This window comes from Homo sapiens, chromosome 7 (genome assembly GCF_000001405.40).
Source record: "Homo sapiens chromosome 7, GRCh38.p14 Primary Assembly".
Lineage (NCBI taxonomy): Eukaryota > Metazoa > Chordata > Mammalia > Primates > Hominidae > Homo > Homo sapiens.
This window is the reverse complement of record NC_000007.14, coordinates 121,348,878-121,374,806: the sequence shown is the minus strand read 5'-3', so window position 1 is coordinate 121,374,806 and position 25,929 is coordinate 121,348,878. Positions and strand designations below refer to the sequence as shown.

Sequence of the window (25,929 nt, the reverse complement as noted above, 5' to 3'; positions counted from 1 at the left end):
AGAACCTGCAAAGTGTTTTTGTGTGCATTTTAGCTATTTGATTTAGACATTATGAGGGCAGATGGTTATTTTGATGTCAAAACTGAAGTGTAGTACTTTGTAACCTTACTGGTTGCCAATCTGTTGAATTGGCCAAAATTTAATTGTGTGGTTTTATTTTAATTCTCATTTCAGACTATCTTAACGAAGATGGATATATGGTTATCTTCGTCATTTGTTTAACATCTTAGTATATGAAAGGTTAACATATTTAATCCAGTAGGAGGATTCTTGCTATAATCACTATCTTAAGGACCCATAAGATTAAATAGTTCTTTTGGTGATTCGTTTTCCATTTTTTAAACTTACTTGACAATTTCTATAAATTATGTAGCTTTATATTTATTATATGGTATTATTTTAGAAAAATAAAACACATTTCTAGAAAGGAAGAATGAAAATTTTGCCTACAATTAGTAGTTGAAATTACCAATGTCGATTATGAATTTTTAAAAACAATTTTTTATAAAACTTTATTTTGAGATAATTGTATTGTTTTTTACAAATCCATTTGAATATACAGAGAGATGGTGCATACTGTTTACTCAGTTTCTCCCATTGGTAATATCTTGCAAAACTATAATACACTATCACAATCAGGACATCAACATGGATACAATTCACCAATCTTATTCAGCATTGTGGTGTAATGTAGTGTTGTTTTCAGTTTGAATACTTAGCTAGTAAGTGAACTGAACACAGTCCAAATTATTTTTGTCTATATTGCTGCAATAAGTACTTAATGTTCTTTTTTTTTTTCTTTTTTTTTTTTGAGACGGAGTCTTGCTCTGTCGCCCAGGCTGGAGAGCAGTGGCACAATCTCGGCTCACCACAAGCTCCACCTCGCGGGTTCACGCCATTCTCCCTGCCCACCACCACGCCCGGCTAATTTTTTTTTTTTGTATTTGTAGTAGAGATGGGGTTTCACCGTGTTAGCCAGGATGGTCTCGATCTCCTGACCTCATGATCCACCCGCCTCAGCCTCTCAAAGTGCTGGGATTACAGGCGTGAGCCACTGCACCCGGCCATAAATACTTAATGTTCTATTGAATTTATTTATTTTTACCTTTTCAGATTTAAACCATTGGTATATAGTATATACATAAATTACTTGAGACATTATTAACAACTAAAGTGCAAAATAGTTCTGATTCATTAGCCCGACTTACTGAAGGACATTCATTGATGAAATGCAATAACAAATGTTTATTATTGTTCCATGAAATGAAGTGTATATGCAGAAAGAAATTAAGCATTGAAGCTATCAGTGTAGTTTGAGGGGAAAATAGTTGTAGGAGAGGAGGGATTTTGGTGTTTGTATGTTGTACCTGTATTCTATACTTGGACAGCTGTTTATGAAAACTAATGTACCTGTTTGGCCACCAGGTGCTAATGTTTTCAGAATTGCAGACTTAGTACAGGGCTTTTGATTTTGATGTGTATTGGATAAAAATGAGCTTTCTTCTGGAAAGAAAAGTCTTTCACAGGAGTTTCTTCACCTTAAAGTATCTACTCCCCTTACTGTTACACAAATTAAATGGAGGTGATGTTATTTACTTAAAATCCTGATTTTAAGTAGTTAAAATCCTGACTTTAAGTACTTAAAATACTTAAAAAACTGATTTTCCCAAAATTATATCCCAGTAAAGTGTAGATAAGGTTTCTTTTCTGCTTTGTTCTGGGCATTAAGCTTTTTCAATGTTATTATATTACCTTTATGGCTTTAATGGTGCATAATATTCTACTGAGTGTTCTATTGAGTTAATGAGCTTTTATTTACTTGGTCATTTTCCTCTTTTTAAACATTTCAATACAATCTTTTAACTTTCAGCTTACTAGTTGGAGTATTGGACCTACAGGAAGTTCACAATTATCTAAAATAGTACAGAACTAAAAACTGTGTGACTATTTATAGCAAGACAGCTGGTTAACATTTATCACACTGCATACTTATTAGTCAAATCAGGAAATGGCTGTCCACAATACTCTGATGATCTGAGTTATAATCTCCTGGGCTGGGATCAGATGTTAGTGCTTTTAAAAAGCCCTACTATAATTATGATAGATGGTCAGGTTGAGAACTACTACATTCAAATTAAGATTTGACCTCATGGATTCCTTGAACTGATAAATTGTAAATCTTTTAGTAATGATCTTCCTCATCCCCCTCCCTGGCCCTCGCAATCTCCTAACCTCACCACTAAGATAGATTCATGTATATTCTCTGGGGCTTTCTTTGCGTATCTGTACAACACCATACAGCAGCAACAACTTTTAAACACCATCATATTCACCAAATTTATATTTATAAACATTGAAAGGTAAGTTTGTAGAGTAACTTCCTGATTGAAATTTAAATATATAGTAACTAAAATTCAAAACAAAATGGTAAGGGAAAAATAAAATGTTTTATCAGTAGTAAAATACTATCCTCCATAATTATTTAATAGTTTATAATGAATGTACAGTGTGAAGTTACTTTCTCACTTTTTCTTAAGTGATATTCATGTTTTATTGTATACTGAATCATTATTTGAACACTTATTTTTGTGGACCTAAATATATTTTAAAAGTGGATACTTGCCAATAGACTCATTCCTTCTAACAAAAGTAATTTTTTTTTTTCAGCAAGATCAGCATTGGACACAGCTGCACGTTGTAAGTATTTCATCTCAATATTTTATGTATGATTTATTCTGCCTTAGGCATATGAGAGCTTATATTCAAAGTGTCAGTAGTTCAGTATGAGGAAAAACTGCTTTAGAAATTGCTTTTTAAAGTTATGAGGATGCTATTTGATTGGACAGCCCAAATATTTTTGGCAATTATTCATGATGGATATTTTGTGTTTTTTAGCTCCGTTATTATAAGTACAGAAATTGGTGTGAGAAGGAGTTAAGAGTGTACATGGGCAAGGTAGTCAATGGAACATTAGGCCTTTTTTAATTATCCTGGAGGTGACGATTTTTTGTGCATATATGGACTAGAAGTGCAAAGTAACATTCAGAACCCCCCACATCCTAAAATTTAAAAATAAACTCATAGTTAGATAAAATATATTTGCCCTAATGCAGATCATATTACTTGACTCATTTGCATCCATTATTAGTTTGTTTCCTAGGAAGATCTGGTGTCTGTTGTGGGTTTCTTTGTTGCTGTTTTTTTTTAAAAAAATTTTTTGAGGTTCTTTGAAACCCTCAGGGGAACAAATTAGCTTGTATTTTAAGATACGTGTATCTTGATGTTTTTCTTAATGCTCTTTGTGGTTTGAGATTTGAAGTAAAGTGAGGTAAAGTCTGTTAACTTGTTTTCTAAAAAAAGACATCATGTTTTCTCCCCCAAAGCTACAAAGCCTCCCAGATATAAGTGTGGGATCTCAAAAGCTTGCCCTGAGAAGCATTTTGCTTTTAAAATGGCAAGTGGAGCAGCCAACGTGGTGGGACCCAAAATCTGCCTGGAAGATAATGTGTAAGTCTTTGTTGACTTGAGACGATAAGGTGTGCTATTAAATTGCAGCCAATTGAACCTGAGTTTAATGGATATTTTGAAAATGTGTTCGGTATACTTTATTAATGGAAAGTGATTTCCATTTTTGTTATGTAGTTTTTTTCTCATGAATTCAAGGGACCTTAAAGTTCTTAAATTTTATATTAGAGAGTGACTAAGAACGTAACACTTATTCGGCTTTATAGAGATAAGAGATTTCCTCTGAGTAAATTCTCTAGATCTGCACTGTCCCATTTGCTAGCAACAGAACACATGTGGCTATTTAATTTTGATCCTTAAATATTAGGAAGAAAGTTAATTCACTTAAATTAACTAAAAAGTTCAGTTCCTTGGTATCTGTCACCGCAGTTCAGGTGTTCAGTGGCCACATGTGGTTCATGGTCACCAAATGGAACAGCAGAGAGAGCATTTTCATCGTGGCAGAAATCCTATTTGCAACATTGCCCTGGACAATGAATGTGTTCTCTTTATTTTAAATGAAATCCAACGTCTTTCATTTAAAATATTTGAGTGCTACTTGTTGAAGTGTGAAATGATCCAGTGATAACCTCAGTTCCATTGCAGCACAAACTGCTTGCCTCTAAGCTGAATGGTTTCCTATGTTGAGATGCTTTCTAAAGGATGGTTTTTAGGATTTTTGATATCCTACCTCAGTGTCAACTGTTGCTCGCAAGTTCCTGCTGCTGAAATTGCAAATCCTACTTTTAGTTGGTTGCTTTTAATATGCTATTGCCTAGAAAACTAGACATGGGGGCTTATTTAAATTTAATATAAAATAATAAATTTGTCACGAATTATATAGAATAAAGAGATAATTTTATAGCAAAGAGGAGACCTAGGCAGCTTTTCCTAGCTGTTTATGTGCCTCTTCTTTTTAATATTGAAGCTCTTAAATTTTTATCCTAGCCTCTTTTGCAGGCAGTTAGCTGTAAGAAGTTTATTGAGCTTCATGGGACAACACTTTTCTTGTAAAATTAAGGGCTTGAGCTAGATGATCATTAAGGTCTGTACTGATTTCCTTTATTTTCCCGTATTCTAATGATGATTTATTGTTAATCCATTTGTCTTCTGATTTCTCATTAGAATAGTCCTGTTTTACTGATGCATAATAAGGCACTTGCATTTTAGAAGTTTGTAGGTTTTTGAAAACATTCTCATTTCCACTCTTTATCTTGTTTGGTTAAATAGACCCCAAATTTGATTCTAAATCACAGGAACAAAGTTCTTTTAGAATACCTAACCCATGGATGATTTTGGACATCTATTCTGCCCCCTTGATGCATGTGAATTTTAGTTCAGAGAAGAAGAGATCAGACTGTTTACTAGCAGGTTTTTTATTCACAGATTAAAACCGTAAACAACAAAACACACTCAGAAAAAAAGCTCAACTGTTTACCCACATCCTGACCCTTATTCACTTCTCTCCAGATCTTCCTGATCTTGGGGCCTTAGAGTATACTCTTCTGTCTAGGATGGTCTTTCCTCACTCTTCACTTGGCTGTCTTCCTTCTTGACCTTTGGTTCTCAGAGTACACATCACTGTCTTAGAAGCTGTTCTCTATCCCTCAGCCTAATGTTGAACAGCTAAAGATCTAAGGTCAGAAAGCGAACAGTGCATAGACAGTGGAGCTTGGTAAAATACATACTGGGCTTAGAGCCAGAGAATTTGCTTCTAGCATGGTGGGCGTGTCATGTAGCATTTGTGTTTCAGTTTCTTTAACCATTAAATGAGGCAGGCCACCTATCCATCCTTATTTCAGGAACCATTCTGCCATTACCATGAGAGATTAAATACTTGGTGGGATTTTATACCCAAGCCTCAGGTTAAAGTCCAAAGAAAGAGTCTTAAGTTTTCTGAGAGTCATTTATTCACCTGTTCAGCAAGTATTTTTGAGCATAATCCCTCCTGTCATGGAACTTACAGTTTAGTAGGGGTGACAGATGCTTAAAAAAAATACGTACTTATAAATTGTGACACCAGGCTGGGCGTGGTGGCTCATGCCTGTAATCCCAGCACTTTGGGAGGTCGAAGCGGGTGGATCACCTGAGGTCAGGAGTCTGAGACCAGCCTGGCCAACATGGTGAAACCCCGTCTTTACTAAAATACAAAAGTTAGCCGGGCGTGGTGGCACATGGGCCTGTAATCCTAGCTACTTGGGAGGCTGAGGCACGAGAATCTCTTGAACCCAGGAGATGGAGGTTGCAGTGGGCCAAGATCGCACCACTGCACTGCAGCCTGGGTGGGCGGCAGAGCGAGACTTTGTCTCAAAAAAAAAAAAAAAAAAAAACAACAACAACAACAAAAAATGAACAAACAAATTGTGATACCAGCCCTGCAGGGCAGCAGGGTGTGATGAGTACTGGCGAGAGTGGATGGAAAGAGGTGTCTAACTTTTAGATTGAGGGTTATGGAACAGTTTCTAAGACAGTGATGTGTATTCTGAGATCTGAGGGATAGAAAGGAAGACCATCCTTGGTCTTCGAGCAGGAGGAAGAAGCCTGCTCGAAGGCCCTAAGATTGGATAGCTCTGGAGAGAAGTGAATTAGGGCCAGGCTGCATAGGAACTTGTAGGCCACGCAGGTAAAGGGTTGAGACTTTTTTCTGAGTGTATTGAGAACTTGTGGAAGGATTTCAAATTCTGGCATGTCGTGATTTTATTTATATTGAAAAAAGTTATCTGGTTGCTGTGTAAAATAATTAAGGAAGTGGAATAGAGAGGACAATTGGAAGGCCATTGCCAGTTACTGCCACAGCACTTTCATACTGCCTCCCTGTTGGTAACAGACTTTATTGCTTATACATTCACTAAAATCTATAAGTAGATAATAAAAATAACACAAGCAGAGAATTTAGTCTTTTCACAGCACCTGCTCTGAGTACATGTAACTCACTTTGGAGACTACTAATCTTGGATCAGTGTGTCTCAATGGGGGCAGTTTTGCTTTCCAGGGAACATTGTAATTTTGGGTTGTCATAGCTTTGGAGGTACTCCTTGTAGAGGCCAGAGATGCTGTTAAACATCTTTCAGTGCATAGGTCAGCTCATCCACAAGAATTATCAGGCTCTTAAAATGAGAGGCTGGGTTTGAGAAACTCTGATACAGACAGGTGATAATTACAATTAGGATGGTGGTCATAAGTAGTTGAAGTCAAAATACATTATGCTGATAAAGATGTGTTTTAAATGTCTCATTAGTTAGAAAATCGCAGGTATGAACCTCAGGTCTCAGGAAAAACAGTAATTGCAGCTTTTTTTTTTCCTTTACTTTTTCTTTTTTCTTTTCTTTTTTACCTAGAGACAGGGTCTCATTCTGTTGCCCAGGCTGGAGTACAGTGACGCAATTTTAGGTCACTGCAACTTTGAATGCCTGGACTCAAGCGATCTTCCCACCTCCACCTCCTGAGTAGCTGGGACTACAGGCGCATACCACCACATGCAGCTAATTTTTCTATTTTTGTGGAAATGGGGTCCCATTGTGTTGCCCAAGGTGGTCTTGAAGTCTTGGGTTCAAGCAGTCTTCCCACCTCAGCCTCCCAAAGTGCTGGGATTACAGGTTTTTTCTTTCTCGTTAGAGCACCCATAGAACTAACTTATGTTCCAATTATAATTTTCATCTAAGGCATATATTCATTTGATTTCAATTTGTATGAATTTGATATTAGGAATAATTCATTACTTTTGATTTTAATGGTAATGTTTGCTGCAAGAATATGAGATTATTTTGAGGGATTTTTTTTTAACAAGGGATCAATGTTTTTGGCTATGAGGGCAAAGAGGTAAAATCAAGGTTATTATGTATGTACTTACATAATCATTTAAAATGTAACCATTTAAAAATGTAAAAACTATTCTAAGCTCATGAGTAGTAAAACAAATCAAAAAACCAGTTGGCAGGATTTGGCTCGTGAGCTATAGTTTGCCAAGCCCTGCTTTAAACTAACCATCTTAAGAGATAATAACTAATAACTAGGACATGAAGTAGCTATTTGAAACAAATCTATATTTGGATATATTGAGTATTTCTACAGATGATATAATCATTTCCTTTAGAATTTTGCCTAGAGATGTGGGAAGGGGTACCTTATATTCATGAAGGATAAAAGAAAATATTTCAACTTGTGTTAGTAAGGGTTACTAACCTTTATACATTTTAAATCTCAGTGGATTTTTTATTTGTTAGAGATTTTCTGTTTGAATTTCAGTTTTTAAAAATTGATAAGCTGCTGCCCTCTTGTGGGAAGCCTATGTCATTGTGCTTCTTTGTTACCTTTATTTCTTTGCTTTATGATAGATTTCAGTCTGTAAAATGCCACATCATACTCCTTGATGATCTTTACTTGGAAAAGTCACTCTGGCACTTAACCCGTTAATCACAGCAGTTACTTCTTAATGATGGAGTTTACTTATTGAATGTATTTCTGAAAGAAACAGAACAGTACATTTTGAAACTTCCTTCTCTTTGATGCAGCTGAGCCAATGGTTAAGTAGTAAAGCATAGAACCTTTTAAATGTATATGCTCCAAGCTAGTACTTTTAAACAGCTTTGAGATATAATTCACATGCCGTCCATTTTGCTCATTTATATTATACAGTCAGTGGTTTATTATATTCACAGATATATGCAATCTCTGCCACAGTCAATTTTAGAAAATTTTTATACCTCAAAAAGAAACCCTGTACCCCTTAGCTAATATCCTTCTATGCCTTTCTTGTCCTGCCCCACTTCCCCACCCCCAAACCCTAAGTTAACCATTAGTTTCCTTTCTGTCTTTATAGATTTGCCTATTTTGGACAGTTCATATAAGTGGTATATAATATTTGGTCTTTTGTGATTGGCTTCTTACCATAATGTTTTCAGGCTTCCTCCATGTTATATCATGTATCAGAACTTCATTCCTTTTATGTCTGAACGATATTCCATTGTATGGATATACCACATTTTGTTTACTCATTCATTAGTTGGTAGACATTTGAGTTGTTTCCACTTTTTAACTATAATGAGTAACATTTACAGAAACATTTATGTACACATTTTATGTGGACATATGTTTTGATTTCTTTATACTCCCAGGGAGTGGATTTTGTTTTAGGTGGTAACTCTGTTTAATTATTTGAGGAACTGCCAGATAGTTTTCCAAAGTGGCTGCATCTGTTTGCATTTCCGCCAGCAGTGTATGAAGGTTCCAATTTCTCCACATCCTTGCCAACACTTGTTATTATCTGACTTACTGATTATAGCCAGCCTAGTAGATGTGAAGTGAAATCTCATTTGCATTTCCCTGATGATTAGTGGTGTCTAGCATGTTTTTGTGTGCTTATTGGCCATTTGTATATCTTCTGTGGAGAAATGTCTGTTGAAACCCTTTGCCCATTGATAAATTGGGTTGTTTCTTTATAATTGAATTGTAATTTCTCTTTTGATTAATGTTTGCATGATATGTCTCTTTCTACCCTTTTACTTTCCACTGCCTATATAATTATATTTAAAGTGAGTTTCTTGTAGACAGTGTGTAGTTGGTTCCTGTTTTAATTCACTTTGCCAATTTCTGTCTTTATTTGGTATGTTGAAACTATTTTCATTTATTATAATTATTAATATATGAGGGTTTAAGTCTATTTTATTATTTGTTTTCATTTTCTCATTTTCCTGCCTTCCTATGAGTTACATAAACATTTTAAAAAAGTGTTTCTTTTGATTTATTTATAGTGTTTTTGAATGTATCTCCCTATAGCTTCTTTAGTGCTTTCTCTCTTTACACAAAAAGTTTGCAGACTCAAGTTCTAGACTTGAGGTGAGGGAGAAAATATTACACAGATTAAATTGAAAAATATGTCCTATCTATATCTATTATATGGTGGATAGCACCAAAAATGTAGGAAGTAGTCTTCCAATATTTAAAACTTATTATCTGATTCAGTCATCATTGACAGGCAAGTGGAATTTGAACATGAATCTCCATTATTTGTTTTTCTTTATTTTATCTTATTAACATAGATCCAACGTTTGTTAGAACTGAGCTCATTCATCAATTGCAACCATAGTTCAGCTGCAGATGTGAATTGTTTGAAAAATCAACTAAAATACTCTGTGAGAATCGACTGAGATTTATAATAAAGTACATCGTAGATTTTATTTATGAAATTGTGTGCTATACATCTTTTAGTAGTTTATAATAAATTGTGTACCTATGTGTATATATAATTCTGTCTATATAAGGACAAGTGTGTGCACGTGTAGTCACATATGTGCATATTGCCTCTCTCTCCTAAACACAGAGCAGTTGTTAAATAGTTAACAGCACACCACTGGGAGTATTACTATTACCTTGAAGTTTTGAGTTAAAAGAACTCACAATTTTAGTTTAATAATTCTAATTTGAGCAATTGAACAAACTGAACTGATAACCAGCAAATTTGTCACTGGTACCTTCCATTTTACAGTGTCATTGTCTTTATATAGTGGTCTGTGAGCTGCCCATGGAAGTCGATTATTTCAGGTAGTCACCACGTAAGTGACTGTCATTCAATGCAGTGATTTCATGAGTGCAATATTTCTTAGTGTAGACGAACTTTACAGTGATAATCACTAGGAGAATGTTCACAATTAGGTAAAACATTCATGAAAGAGTGCTCCCCCACTCTGTTTGCTTTTAGATTTAAATGATGGGGGTAGTATCTCGCTTCTGTTTCATGTCACGCTGGTATTGAAGAGAGCAGAAAAGAGATTATCTTTTGTTTGATACCTTAAGAATGATGCAGAACATATGCTTAATGTCCATGTTTTAAGAATAATCTGAAGCAGTGTAGCACAAAAATGGTCTATTATTTCAGGCCTAATATTTTTTAATATGTATTTCTATTTGTGAAATATTATTTAAGGACATTGCTTTAAAATTATTCAGTATTAGACTGTCTTCTCTGACTTAGTAGAGATCTTTTTAATTTCCTCCGCAGCACTGAACAATTGAAAATATGTATAATATTCCTAACTTTTTTTGCAAGACTTTATTTTTCTGATATGTTATTGTACAATATTTAATTCTAAATTTATTTCAATTTCTCCCCCTTCAGTTTAATGAGTGGTGTTAAGAATAATGTTGGAAGAGGGATCAATGTTGCCTTGGCAAATGGTAAGAACAATTATTTTAGCTTATGGATGTAATCATTGGGTATTTTTCTGTCCCAAAGTAAAATGCACTATCAGAGGATCAGGTTAGAAAGTACTGCTCTTGATGATAAAGCCCTCTGTCCCATCCCTGCCCTGCAAAAAATCTATGGGTGGAGACTTGGTGTCTAAGAATTTATAGCGTGTTTCTTGAAAGTATCCTAACTTGCTATGCAAGAGCTTCCATGAGATTGTCAGAAACCAAGCAGTCTAACATCACATTGATAAAATCTTGCTTCAAATTTTGGAATCCTAACATAATAGGAAGATAGGTTGACAGGATTAAAGGCGTATGAAATGACAAAGGATGGTGTAGGGGGAGGAACAAAGAATAAGAATGTATTGTAATTTTTCATTATCAGCCACATTCTTCTGATAGCTTAATTAGTATGAATAAGTTGATTGAATCCTGAACATCTCAAATTTTCCTTCAAAATCAAATCTGAAAACATAAAACCATAAAGTGAGGCCTAACTGCATATTGATCCTCTCTGTTCTGGTACAATAAGTATTCCATAAAGCTATGTAGGATGGTTATAAGATATATAGGATGGTTAGAAACCACTGTAGTTTCATAGTGTAGAAAAATATATTTTACTACTTTCACAGCAAGAGGTAAATTTTTGTTCTTCTGCTTTCTTCATTTCCTTAGGTAAAAGGTTCAACATCTGTCTATTTCATTAATAGCAAAAAATACATTTTATAGGGCAAGTTAATGTAAGTTTTATTGTAAAAACTGATTTAATGTAGAAAATGGCATCTGATTCAAGGAGATACTTCTTTTTTGTAAAAGGTTTACTTTTGAGTAATTTTAAAATAAGAGAATATGGAAACAACGATGAAATATATCTAACCGAATTGGAATGGTCTACAGTCAGTAATGAACTTCTATTTATCCTTCGGCTTAAAAGATTAATGAGAAAGTTCTATTAAGAAATTACCCTTTAAAAATATATTTCAGGTGCATATGATTCAGATTTTAAGTTCTCAAAGTAATTCTTTGAGATGAATTCACATCTCTCTAATGCTAATGAATTCACATCTTCTCTGCTAATGAATTCACATCAATCATTGGATGAGATTATTGGTCTTACAGTGTATGATATATTTCAGATGCATAATTTGATATGAATTTAATCTCTTTTAGGAAAAACAGGAGAAGTATTAGACACTAAATATTTTGACATGTGGGGAGGAGGTAAGCATAAATAACATGACTGTGTTCTTTTGCTGGCACTGACTTAATCACCTCAATACAATGTAGCCCATTAATGAGAGAATGATGATGCTATTTGCGTTAGTTCATTTTGTTTCCCTTACTTTCTGTTCACTAAATGTCCAGCTGTATTTAAGTTATCATTCATGTTTTATATACTTTCTTCTTCTTAGAAAAAAATTTTTGTGGTGTATAATTGAAGATAGTAATATCAAAATTGAGATTTTTTTAAAAAAAGTCATCTTGTTTTCTACAGGACAACCAATTCAAAAGTTTTGGGCTCCTTTAAGTGTGTCTAAAATTTAAAAAAAAAAAGTAATTTGAAGACCAGAATAACCAATGTAAGCATTCCTAAGTGATAGGAATTGATTTTTTTTTAAATGTGATTTTTTAGTCTCAAAAATAAATCATTAGGAGCATTAGGAGCATTAGAAAGACAAGATAAACTATCAGTTTTAGAACAGCAGTCCTATTATTCATCACAGTTCTACCCTCTGACTTGCAGCTAATTTTTTAGGTAGATGAATATTTGAGGGAAGAAATAGAATTTTCTTTCTTGTAAAGCAATCCACAGATATTTTCCCCTTCCATATTTGGAAGTCCCACAAGGAGTGGGAAGAAGTTACCAGCACGCAGAGGCAAGGGACTGGCACCCCAAAGAAGAACGCTGCCCGGAAGAATGGGTTTTTTTCCTCCAGTTTGAAGGGAGGCCAACACTGGTTTATCTTTTGATTCTTTAATTTGGGAGATTGATCAGTATGAGGATCTCCCCTGCACCTCCCCATTCCATTTATATATTCCCTAGAAGCCAACAGCTATTAGGCTTCCTGAAATTCATGTTAAGAGTTCTCAGATAATTTAGCTTTTCCAACATATCTTCAGCTTGTAATAAGATGGTATGTAGCCGGACGTGGTGGCTCACGCCTGTAATCCCAGCACTTCGGGAGGCCGAGGCAGGCAGATCACGACGTCAGGAGATGGAGACCATCCTGGCTAACACAGCGAAACCCCGTCTCTACTAAAAATACAAAAATTAGCCGGGCATGGTGGCATGCACCTTTAGTTCCAGCTACTCCTTGGGAGGCCGAAGCAGGAGAATCCCTTGAACCGGGGAGGCAGAAGTTGCGGTGAGCCGAGATCTTGCCACTGCACTCCAGCCTGGGCGACAGAGCCAGACTCCGTCTCAAAAAAACAAAAGATGCCGTGTATTATTTTGTTATTAAATAATGTTAGGACAACATTGCATAGCTGTCAAAGCTGTATAAACTTAAAATGGGACCATCAATTTTAGATTCTAAAGGCATAAATTGGTCCTGCCAAAATTTATTGATAGAAAGAGTCTTACAAAGCTGTTGTTGAAATCAGTCATGTGACCAGGAGCTCTGGTATTCCTTACTTCTCTTGTCACAGGTAGATTAATTACCGCTAGCAGCATTCTTCTAGTTAGGAAATTGTTGCAGTTTATTGCCACTTTTGCATTTAAATGGAAGTAGTTTGTTAGCTGCCTTGTTATATCTTTTTGAATTGAAAATGCTATTATTATGAAATATAATCAGTTATCGAAAATCTTTGGCATCTTTGCTGTGGAAAGAAACTGAGTACATTTGAAGTAACCCAGTTTTGGAGTAGAATTAGACTTCAGAGCTATAAGGAACCCAGACATTGTAAAGAGTTCAAGATGTCAAGTGGTTTTTAGAATCTGACCTATGTATCTGGCATCAACAGTTTATAGTCATTGAAGTGGTTTATTTTGAAGTCCTTGTGGATTTTGATTTGGTAGATCAAATGAGTAATGACTGTAATATTTGCTACAATTAGTTTGGCTTTTAGTGATCACCTAACATATTCCTTCTCCCAGTTTATAGCAAATGATATACCTAAAATAGCCTTTAAATCTGTGTGTATATGTATTTTTAGATTTTCTAAAAATTACAGATATCTTTGAGAATCGGAGAAAAGCTGTGTATCCTCTTTCTAGTAAAGTACCCATACAAACATTGTTATGCTTTTTTTCGTTTCGTTTTTGTTTTTTTGTTTTGTTTTTGAGACAGGGTCTTGCTGTGTCAACCAGGCTAGAGTGCAGTGGTGTGATCTCAGCTCACCGCAACCTCCACCTCCTGGCCTCAAAGCAGTTCTCCTGCCTCAACTTCCTGAGTAGCTAGGACTACAGGCATGTGCCACCAAGCTCGGCTAATTTTTAAATTTTTTTGTTGAGATGAGGTCTCACTATATTGCCCAGGCTGGTTTCAAGCTCCTGGGCTCAAGCCATCCCCCAGCCCTGACCTCCCAAGGTGCTGGGATTACAGATGTGAGTCACTGTGCTCAGCCCATACAATTTTACATACACTTAAGGAGTCCACACACCTCCCATGCCTCCTTAAGCTTATGCATGGACCCCAGAATAAGGTTTTCAGGATCCCAATTATTCAAATCTGAGAGATCTCTGAATTTCTTACTTCGTAAGTCATGCTTTACTTTGCTATGATTTTTTTCACTTAGCCCCAGGAATATCAATACGAAAGACACAGGATAAATCAGGAATGGGAAATTGTAAGTTGATAGTGGGATTATGTTAAGGGACAAATTTAACAGTTTTTAAACTCTTTATGAGATTTGTCTGTCTTTTGGATTACTTTACATTGGAAATTATTGCTTTACAGATACTTCATGTTTTATAATACTACTTTCAGAGATTATCGTGATGCTTATTCAGTCATTTTTTAAAACCCTAAACCCTTTCTTTTTCTTCAGATGTGGCACCATTTATTGAGTTTCTGAAGGCCATACAAGATGGAACAATAGTTTTAATGGGAACATACGATGATGGAGCAACCAAGTATGTAAACTTTACAGAACTTTTTGGAACTATAATTTGTAATTATAAAAGCAATACATTTTCATTAAAAAAAAATCTGTAACATAGAGCAAAGTAATCAAACTACCAGGTAAACACAACTAACAATTTTTGTTTTTACTTTGCCTCCTTCCTGGTTTTATATGTAAATGTTTATCACACATATATTGTCATGAAATTAGAATCACATCATATGTAACATTTTTTATACTTTTATGTTTTGTTTTTTAACATTCTGAAATTGTTTTTCCTAGCATTAATATTCTTCAATAGCATTTTTATGGTTCATCAGCAGTTATGGGCTCACCTTTAAAGTTTCCCTATTATTATGTCATTAGGGTAAATTTCAAGAAATGGAGTTAATTGTCAAAGATACAGGTGTGCTATATTTTAAATAATTTTAATATATAGTAGTTTTATAACTTTTTCTTAAAATAGTATATGTTGTAAAAATTTGGAAAATTATAGAAAAGCGCAAAGAGACCAAGTTCCAGTCCATCTCACTACCCAGTGTAAACATTGATGATATTTTAGTTTCTATTCCAGATGACTTAAGACACATTTTTTGGCATTAAATATTTAGAATGCTAGTATTTATAGCATATCTCTTCACTTACGTGGTGAATATTTCCCCTTATTATTAAATATTCTTTATAAAAAATTGTTTATGCCTGCCTAGTCTGGTTTTTAAAATGTCATGATTTATAACCTGTTTAATGGGTTGCCTATTGCTGGACCCAGACTAGTTCCAATTTGCATACTTAGCACAATAGACTATCTTAGAAATGTTTGAACAGTCCATGTCTATGTCTTTAAGATAGACTTCTTTTTTTTAAAGTGGAAATGATTAATTAAAGGATGTGCATGTTTTTAAAAATGGATTTTAAAAATTTTTTTACCAATTTTATATTTTTCTCAGAAGTTCCATGGCACCAATTGTTAATTTTTTTAAGTTTCAATTTTAAGAGTTTGAAAAGGTATCTTATTTTAATATGCCTTTATTATTGAGATTGGATTTTTTTCACAAGTGGTTTTTTTTTCTTTTGCCTTTTTATGTAAATTGTCTTTTGACCATTCGAGTTGGCCTATCTTGACTTGTAAGACCCCTTCACGTTTTAAGGATATTAACCATTTCTAATGTAAAAAGAAATGTATTTATTGTACATTATTTGCTTTTAATTTTGTTAGTGTAGGGTGCTTTTTGAATTTTAGAATTTTAGACTAATGCCTATATAGTCTATGTATTTTTCTATCACTCTCCTTGTATACTTGAGAAGTATTTTTCCACCTCCAGGTTAGATATTTAGTAGATTTTCTCTTCCAGTGATTTCACTGTTGTCATGTATTTTTAAAAACCCATTTGTAATTTCCCCATGACACACAATGCCTATGTTCTTATGTAGATTTGGCTTTATCTCTGGAATTTCTGTTCTGTTCCATTCACTTGACCTGTTTATCTCTGTTCCAAAAAGACACTATTTCAATTATTTTAAAATTGTTTTATAAAAGTAATTGTACTTCATGCCTCTCTGGTTGAGATTAAATCCCCTTTAATGTTCTTCTTTCTAGAAAAAAATAATTTTTTCTCTGACTTTTCTTCAGATGACTTATCAAGGATAAAAAACATCCTTTATAGATTTTAATTGACAGAGCTTTAATACTACAAGATTTATAGATTTTATAGATTTTAATTGACAGAGCCTTAATACTACAAGATTTATACAGAAATTTGTATTTTTATGTATTGATTTTTATAAATGTATTATTTTATAGCTACATTATCACAGATTTACATGAAAACAGTGATACTTTATAAATGGTTGTAAGCTGAAGTAATTTCATTGACATTGTGCGTTTTATCTGGTTCAACTAAGAATATATTAAATCCATAAATTGAAGGTTAACATAAAACTCGCCTATTCAAGCATTTTCATCTACCTAAATAGAATGAAACAGGATGTAATTAGGCTCTCATCAAAAAACAGGTAACTTGCTATTTGCTTTTGCTGAGAGAATAGGCTATTACGTGTAAAATTTGAAGTTTTAACATTAAAAAGAAAAGGCCCCACTTTTCTGACTTGACAAACATGACCTCCGTTTTTCACCAGATTATTTTGTTATACCTGATGGGAATCAAAATTGCTCCCCTTAACCTGCTAATATGCTAATAATAAATTATAGCCACAACTAAGAACTAGGGGAGGAATGATGTTTACTCTTCAACTGCTATTTTTTGGTGCCCATTAAATGCACCAAAAGCAGCTTTGGAAGAGAGTTCAACCTCTAGGGCAAAAGGAAAAATCTAAACTTTAATTTCTTTACGTTTGGTCACTTGGTCAATATATGATTCATCTGTGAATTTAAATGAATTGAGTTGTATTAGTTTGGGGCACACGAATTTATATTTCAAATATTTCCTTTTCCTAAATACCAGTAAAAGAAATTGTAAGCATCATATCTTTTATACTGAAATGGACAACATCCTTAAGAAAGGCAATCTACATCTAATATATATATAACCCTTTTATCTTGGCAGGTGTCTAATTGTGGCACATTTGCAGTGATTTACCAGTTGTGTTATATACCCTCTCTTATATATGAATAGAAATTCTGCTTACTGCTGCTGATGTATTATGGCTTTTCCTTATTTAAGGCCATTGAATTTTACCTCGTTTTCTTCCACTTATACTCAAGAAAGTTAAGTGCGTACACTGAATGTCCCTGCTCTTTCCAAGAGAGAAAGTTGGGTGGCATGTTAACCAGAGAAAGCAGGACCCAGCTGACTCACTCACTCTCTCTCTCTCGTCGTCTCTGATCCTAGTTTCTCTTAATCATGATGAGCCTGCTTTGCAGTGCTATGAACTTCAGCAGATTGACTAGGACTGATCTCCATCACATTATTTCCCAGAGTGTGTTTGGTAGAACCCCTGTCCTTTACAAGTACATATAATGGTCAAAGAAGTTTGAGGATGGTACCTTATATTTTGCCCCTTTTCGGGATTCACAATGAAAGGCTCTGAAGTTCTGCCCTAAAGAAACATCTTTTCCTTTGTTAATCATGGTGTTTCTTGATTCTGTGAAGCCCATTTAAAAAACAAGATAGAGAAAAACTTACATCTAAGAAAACTTAACACTTCAGGGAGTACAGTTATCTAATGATACCTACTTTCCACCCCGACCCTCACTAAAATAAGTTGTTCTTTGGTTATAAAGGAGATAATGGTTTGAATGAGCAAGCTAAACTTGCCAATTGTATTCTTCCTTTTGGAGAGAATACTCTATGACATGTTATGCCTACGTGAAGGGCTTCAATATGAATGTCTTGGAGTAAGAAGGGATCTTAAAGGTCACCTAAAGCAGCATTGGAGCCTGGGCAAGATTCTCTTGTTCTCTATGAATACCTCTACTTAACACCCTACCTACTTAATGTGCCAGTACCCTTTCATTTCTCCATTTGAAATAGATTGAAACAAAATATTCACAGTACAGTGTTACATTCTCAGAGTGGTCTCCCTCTAAATTCTGCCTGATGTTCTTTAATTTGGATAGATGGAACAACAAAACAGTAAGTGTATTCCCCAAATCATTTGATACTTCAGGTATTTGAAGCTAATTGGTATTTTTCTTTTAGTTTTCTCTTTTTCCGGCTTAATACACAGGCTCTTTTAACTTTTTGTCATGTATAGCTTCTAATTTGTTTCATCTTCCTGGCTATATTTCTTAGGCATTCTCTAGTTGATTATTGTCTCTCTTAAAATGAATGCATCAAATCAAACACAGGGTTCCAGATGTGGTCTGGCCAGTACAAGGTACAATGCAGATGCTAGCTACCATGTTTCAGAGATTACATTTCTTTGAATATTCATGCAGACTAGAATTGTATTAGTTTTCTTTAAACAGTCACATTACATTTTTGGCTCGTGAGTTTTTGGTCAAGTTAAATTCTCAGATCTTTTTATTTGATCTCAGGCCTTTTTTTTTTTTTCTAAACCACTGTCAAATCAGGTCTTTCTCTTCATTCAGAACTTGATTTTGTTTAACCTAAATGAAGGCCTTTATTTTCATTTATCCTTGTTAAATTTAATTTTGCTGATGTAGGCCCACTTGGTCTTGATTCTGACATTCGTCCTATGAAGTTTCCATGATCCAGGCTTTGTACTCTCTTCAAAGTCATGCTTATGTCTAAATATAAGTCATTGATAAAAATGTTTACCAAGGGCGGTGTGCCACCCTGCTAGAGGCTTCCTCCAAGGGATGCATCTGTTAATCAGCTGCAGAAACTACTTTTCAAACAGTTGCCAGTGTACCCTACCAGGAATACCATCCAGCTGCTATTTCATTATTTTATTCATAGAGGTTATTTTCTGAGACTATCATATGCTCACTTGAAATTCATGGACTGTGCTAATTGCAGTACCCTGATCTACTGCCTGAAAACCTCTTCAAAAGCTGAAATAGTTGTGATGACGTTAACTTGGCTTTACTTATTTCCCTCTCCTTCCCACTAGTTCCCCTTTATTTCCCTTTCTTTCCTTATTGCTTTTTAATGCTCACAGGATCTTCTTGTCATCCCTTCAAGGATTTTGGTAGGAATTCACATTAGTTTTATTGGACCATTATTTCTAAAATTTTGTTGCCTTTTTTGAAAACAGGGATAATGTCTTAGCATCTCCCATTTTCCATGAGGCTTCTAAAATAACTGACACTACCTTGATGATTATTTCAACAAGTTCCTTTACAATCTAAAAGTGTGAAGTGGGGGAGGGGGTTTACAGGACTGGAGGCTTAAATTTACTTTAGAGCACTTACATGGACTTCTTGAGCTACTATTCCCTTTTTATGTTGATCAAAGAATGTTTGCCTCCCTGTAAAAGATAGTCATGCTTTGGTTGGATGATATATCATTCTCATGAAACAGTGAGTCCCTTTGTTATTCACACTTAGTAGCAAAAGCTGTTTCTGTGGCTTTTAATAATTTTATGAGTTTCATCTCATTCTGAGCACTACAGGTCTTCCTGGTTAGTAGTATTAAAAATTTTGTCATTAGTAATGTGGTTTGCTTTGTATTTTTGCACACTTCCTTTCTTAAGTTTGAGTCCATCATAAAACATCCCTATGATAGCACTAATTTAGAAACTATGCTCCATTTTTTTCTGGAAGTGTTAGCAATTATATAGTGAAAATTATAGAGTTTTTCTGTTTGTTTGTAAAGAGTCGTATTCCCTCATAAAAATTTCTAATCCGAACTTTGTATAATATGTTCTCTTTAAAGTCTAGGCTGGGTCGTCATTTATGCCTTATATAGTTAGCATTTCTTACTCTTCAACGCCCTGAGGTAATATGGCGATTTTCTTCCAGACTTTCTCCTTCCCAGCTTGTTCTTCCCTATTAATCAGAATTGAGCCATTAATATTGTCCGTCTTGCTTTCTGTGCTTCCAGAAAGGCAGCATTGGCTTGGTTTGATGGTGCAACTGTAGGACTATCCGATGTGCCTCCTTTCCCAGCAAGGATTGAGGCAGAACCCACAGATTCCTGTGTCCAGTTCCCACTTCCTCCCTTTCTAGTTTAGATTGCCTCTGGGCAGCATTAGATTGTCTTCTAGCAAAACCTGATACCGTTCTCTGTCTATCCTGGTTTATCACAGGATAATTTTCTGTTCATTTTGAAGAAAATTATTCACTAAAATAATATATTTGACATAAATTTTTAACTCAGCTAGTTAAGACCATTAGTAAGGATTAAAATATATGTAACAAACTCAGAGTGCCCTATGTGGAATAAAAAGCTTGTATCTCCAACCTTTATGCTATATAAAAATATATTTGCTGCCCTGGCTTTTTTAAAAAAGGGGCATTTTGACATTTCCTGTATATTCAATTAAATACTGGCTATGTTACATGATTTTAAACTTTTGAAATATAAAGATTTTTTTTACTTAGTTACACAGAAGATATCTAAAAATAATAATAAAATAATCAACCAAATTCTACATAGGCAGATCAGAAAGTGTTAGAAGTCATTGACAAAGTCATCTTGTTATAAAACTGTAGTTAGATATACACAGGGCTATGTGTTAGACGTCCCCCAAACCACTCCCAGTTTTGACAGTTCTCCAGTAGGTCTCATGGTTGTGATTTGTTAAAGCAAAAATACACAAAGCAAAATGAGCAAAGGGAAAAGGTTCATGGGACAAAGTCTGGAGGGACAAAGGAGTCTTCTCCCAAGTGGAGTCAAACAGGACATGCTTAATTCTTCCAGCAACCAGTTAGGACAACACATGGGAAATGTTGTCTGCAAGGAAGCTTATTAGGGACTCAATGCCCAGAGATTTTATTAGGGGCTGGTCATGTAGGCACCCTCTGCCTAACCTGTTGCAAAATACCAGACTCCCAGAGAGAAAACAAGTGTTCAGCATAAATTGCATTGTTTTTGCCCACAGTTTAGACACAATGAACCATTCTTATCAGTTTTGAAAATGATAGGAGCCCTCCGCAAATCCAAGTGGCCAGATAGCCAAGGGTCAGTCTTGCTAGTAGGCCTTTCTAAGCTCAGGCCTGCTATGTTAATGCATATCTGCACAGGATCTCAGTATCTTCTAATGGAAAAGCAAGGAATAAGATTAATGGAGTTAAAACATAAAGCTCAATCTTTAAGTTTCTCCTTGATCTCTGGCTTGATTGTAAATCAGCTTGGTTTATTCATACAGATCATAATGGTCACTTCTGAAATTCAGGAGTACAAAAATAAGAATGCCTGACTGCCCTTCAACATATTTCTTAGTTGGTGCAAAATTCTTGGATAAGATTTTACTTTTGGCAGGGAGCTGGACCTGCGTTTGGATAACCTTCTATTTTGCAGGGAATTTTTCCTGTGTAAAGCAATCTCTTAACATTTGTGAACTTCACATTCATCATTTCAGCTGTTTATGAGCCACCCTAAAGGCCTGTGAGGTATCAATTCATAATTTTTTTGAGATGTAAATGTGAATGGAACCCCAAAGCCTCTCTGCAGGAGGCAGTCCATTTAGCTGACCACTGAGCCTACTGCCTGTGCTCTAGACATTTCAATACTATTTATTCTTGTTACAGCAGCAAAACTCATCGCTAGTGCTGATGATGCAAGTGTAGACTTCCATAAGGTAGTTAGAAAATAGAACATTTGGATAAACTACGCAAGTGGAATTTGACAGCCTTTTAGATCCATGGCATCCCAATAACATTTGGAAACAAGAAAACAAGGTTCAGGTGATAATTTTGGGGCATTTCCCTCTAGCACCAAAGTTGGTTATCAAGTGAGCAAACAAGTGGAAAGTGATGGATAATTCATGTAAGGATGGGCACAGGAAACGAAGCTGCAGAGGAACTGTGGAGGGAAAGCCAGTGCATATGCACAGATTTCATGTGAAGGCCTCACAATCTTCACAGAGGCTGAGATTGGTTCTTCTGCACAGTCATTTCACTTCTTTTTAGTTCACTTGGCTATAAATGTACCACTTAATATAGGAGGCGAATCTGAAAGGCTAAATGCTCCACAGGCTATGGCTTATTTTCTTGCTGATTCTAGTGAACTTCCTCCAGGTGGACAGCAGTGCCCAGGCTGTGGCCAAAACAGCTCCACAGCCCCCACGGATGTGGTGGGCATCAATCATGAAAGTTTAATGATATATGTAGTTCTTTCCTGTTTTATGAAGCTTTTTTAAAAAAACCATAAGAGTATCCCTTTTTCTTTAGTTAAATGAGAACTGTTCTATGTAGTGTTTCTTTCACTAAGATATTAAAGGAGCTACTTGATACTAGCATGAGAGGTTTGAAAGAACACTGTAGAATGAATAAGTACCTTCCTCACTGACTTTCCTGCTGTTTGGAAATATAAACTTGCCTTGCCTCAGGTTTTAGCAGAACAAACCTCTCTAAGTGACCTGTTAGAGCTGTCTTTTGCGCAGTATATAGGACTCAATGCCAAATATGTGTACAAGTAGCCCTTAATTTTTTCTTCTTCTTCTTTTTTTAAGCTCTATAGCTACCATTTATGTTCTGAGTTTCTTTTCTCCTTAGAGATAAAGGAGAGAAAATCATTGACCATTAGGATGATCACTTACACAAAATTTTTTAGGGACATCTTTCAATTAGTAGTTTCCCTGGTGGTTGACTTCTGTCACTGCTCCACCTCCTGCTAGTAGGCATTTAGCTGCTGTGTGGTTAATATTTTCATTTTTATTAAGTAACCACTTGGCAGTTATCACTGAAGTACAATTTATATATCTGTTCTCAAAATTCATTTTCTTTTAAATAAAACATAGTGTTAGAAACATACAGATTTTTGTCAGCATTTACCTTTATTCTGGTCAAATGTAATTTACAGAGGGTTTAGTGGAGATTCAAAAAGATTAATTTTATAAAAATATTGATTGCTTAAGACCTTGGATAGCCTGGATAGGCATCTACTAACTGTGGTATCCCTTATTTATTTGATGAGTGTAATTTAAAAAGTTAAATGAAGGTGAATTGTTGTGAAATAAAAACCTAACAGGTCCTTTTAATAGAATAAACTTAAAATTAATTGTTGGAGTTCATGTCTTTTGTCACTAAAGAATTCAACCAGTAGAAATGTAACTCTGAAAAAAAATTATTTTCCAAAATGTTCTGTTATTTAAAGTCTCATTTTGTCTCATGTTTTGTGTTAATATCCCAGTGAACCAGTATTAGCATACAGTTCCCTCTGTTTATTGTTGTATTCTTTCTCTCCCTCTTCAAGACTCAATGATGAGGCACGGCGGCTCATTGCTGATTTGGGGAGCACATCTATTACTAATCTTGGTTTTAGAGACAACTGGGTCTTCTGTGGTGGGAAGGGCATTAAGACAAAAAGCCCTTTTGAACAGGTTAGTGTCATAGACTCTCAGAATTAACAAAAACAAATTCTGTGAAACCTTACGGTACATTTTCCCATCCCAGCTATTTGAAAATTAGATAAAGCGGATAGTAAATATGATCATATATTTGTCATAAATTCTTGGTAATCAGTTATTTGAAATAACTATCGTACTTTTAAATTTCAAAACTTGAAAATTCTGCATGGGAATATTTTTTCCTACAGGACAATGCATTGGAATAGGATTACCTATCTTAAGCCTTTTCGGAAGCTTTAGTTATTAAGGATTTTAATTGAGCTTTGGATTTTAGAATCAGTGAAGTTTGGAAATATTTTAGAACTTAGTAGAATGTAAATGTTAGTTTTTGAGTAGCAAATAATCCTTTAAAAGCACGTGCAATGTATTCTTTCAGCTGTTATTTGAAGGTCTGCCATGTATGTGATACAGCCTGAGGGTCACTCATTTAATATCTTGACCAGTAATTTAAATGAACTTATTGTTGACATGAGTATTACTGAAATGAGAAGTGTGTAAAATGTTACGGCAAATCAGCAGTTTACAACGGTTTTTTAAACTGTATATTATTACTGTGTTCCAATAGCACATAAAGAACAATAAGGATACAAACAAATATGAAGGATGGCCTGAAGTTGTAGAAATGGAAGGATGCATCCCCCAGAAGCAAGACTAATGGAAATGTGGAGAGAATTGAAGAAAGCGCACTTTCACTCTTAATGGGAGAGCTATAAATGGCAGAGCTATGTGTAAATATTTTAAGAGCATGCAGCCATCTTGGTGTGTGCATGAGTATTGTCTCTTTTGATATCAGGATTATTTATTGCTAACGTAAATAGATAGCATTGTAAATAATCATCACAATGATCAAATCACTGAACCATGTCTCCGCACATTTCCCTAAAAGTACAATGTTTAGACTGCTATGGTAATACATATTTTAAATTCTAAAAGCATACACAATGTGTAACTGAATGGTTTGTGAAAAATATATTGATATATATACTAGTTGCTATGAAAATATCATGGAATAATAGGGATTTTAGGGTGGATACTTTATTTTCTTTTATGTTTCTATATGTTGCGTTGTGATGACATTATCTTTTAAATTAAAAAGAGATTTGGCTAGTTGTGTGTGTAATGTTACTTTACAGTCCGACTCTCCTGATGTACCTCTTTTCATGATCTTTTTCTTTCCTTCCCAAGAAACTGAGGAATGTTTAATATGAAAACATACATCGGATATGTGAAAAGCACAACAAAATTCTTAATGTACACAGTAAAAAAGTAAATATATAAATGTAGATGGCATTTAGGACCACAGCTTGCTGGATTTGTGTTAGCTATGGGAATAACTTGATTTTGTATAAGCTATTTAGAGTGAGGCTGGAGGTGGCAGCTTCACAGAACTGGAGAACCAGGCCAAGTCCCCTCCCCAACCTAATTAGGTCATTCAGGACAGCTAAGTCAGTATATTTAGAGCAATACTAGCATACGTTTTTCTTAATTGTTATCAGCATTGACCAAGTGGTTTGGAAGGAGGCATGCTTTAATATCACAATAATTTTGATTTGTAAACCAAGAAATTAATCCTGTGTTTATCTAACTTCATAATAGCAATTATTGCCCGAAGCTATAGTGGCATATTTACAAAAGTTCTTATTACTGGGCGGACTGATAACATTTAAAAAATAATTGTGTTTGACCCCAAATGACTTTATACCCAATTCTACATAAAAATATAGAAGATCTATCTTTTTTTGTTACCTTCAGATGTTCACTAAATAACTCAGTTTTTAAGCAGAAGTTTTCAGGGCATTAAATATATGTTGTGTATGAAGTATCTCAAACTGGAACATAAATTTAGTGATCAAACTGCCATTCACAGTGTAAGGCAGCACTTAAATTTCGAACCTAAAGTTTAGATGCATTGTATAAAAAAACCTAAAAGCAGTATCTGTTATTTAGCTGTAAACCAAGTTGGAAGCTATTCGGATAATTTCTTAAATATTGATGAACTTTGGAGTACTGTTTCTTCCTTCAAACTGAATGTAATTAATTCATGAATAAATGCACCTTATATGTTTAAACAATCTTTGTATACTTTTGGGATTTTTGGTGCTTATATGCTAAATCACATTCAGCATGTGTATTTTGACATTTAAAATACTTCCCTCAATTCTGTAAATTAAAAGAATAGTTATTTTACAGTTCCAGGGATTGTGAAATAAATGTTGCAGTTTTTTAAAATAATGAAAA

The 25,929-nt window shown here is 34.7% G+C and overlaps 1 protein-coding gene across 9 annotated transcripts in view, besides 1 other annotated feature; it reads left to right on the top strand.

The window, feature by feature from the left end:
• Window positions 1-25,929, top strand: part of FAM3C (FAM3 metabolism regulating signaling molecule C) — a 47,519-nt gene extending 21,590 nt beyond the window's left edge. For all 9 annotated transcript variants that reach the window (XM_047419775.1, NM_001040020.2, NM_014888.3 and 6 more), the window contains 7 exons: window positions 2,668-2,697; window positions 3,384-3,507; window positions 10,619-10,677; window positions 11,860-11,910; window positions 14,680-14,764; window positions 23,538-23,664; window positions 24,257-25,929. In XM_047419775.1, coding sequence (XP_047275731.1) covers window positions 2,668-2,697; window positions 3,384-3,507; window positions 10,619-10,677; window positions 11,860-11,910; window positions 14,680-14,764; window positions 23,538-23,664; window positions 24,257-24,346 — 566 coding nt within the window. In that variant the 3' untranslated portion in view covers window positions 24,347-25,929. The remainder of the gene's footprint in view (window positions 1-2,667; window positions 2,698-3,383; window positions 3,508-10,618; window positions 10,678-11,859; window positions 11,911-14,679; window positions 14,765-23,537; window positions 23,665-24,256) is intronic.
• Window positions 1,830-1,879: an enhancer, noted in NCBI's record as "active region_26562". NCBI's record gives its function as "activates an Ori minimal core promoter by ATAC-STARR-seq in GM12878 lymphoblastoid cells {active_cell/tissue: GM12878}" and the evidence as "EXISTENCE:reporter gene assay evidence [ECO:0000049][PMID:35858748]".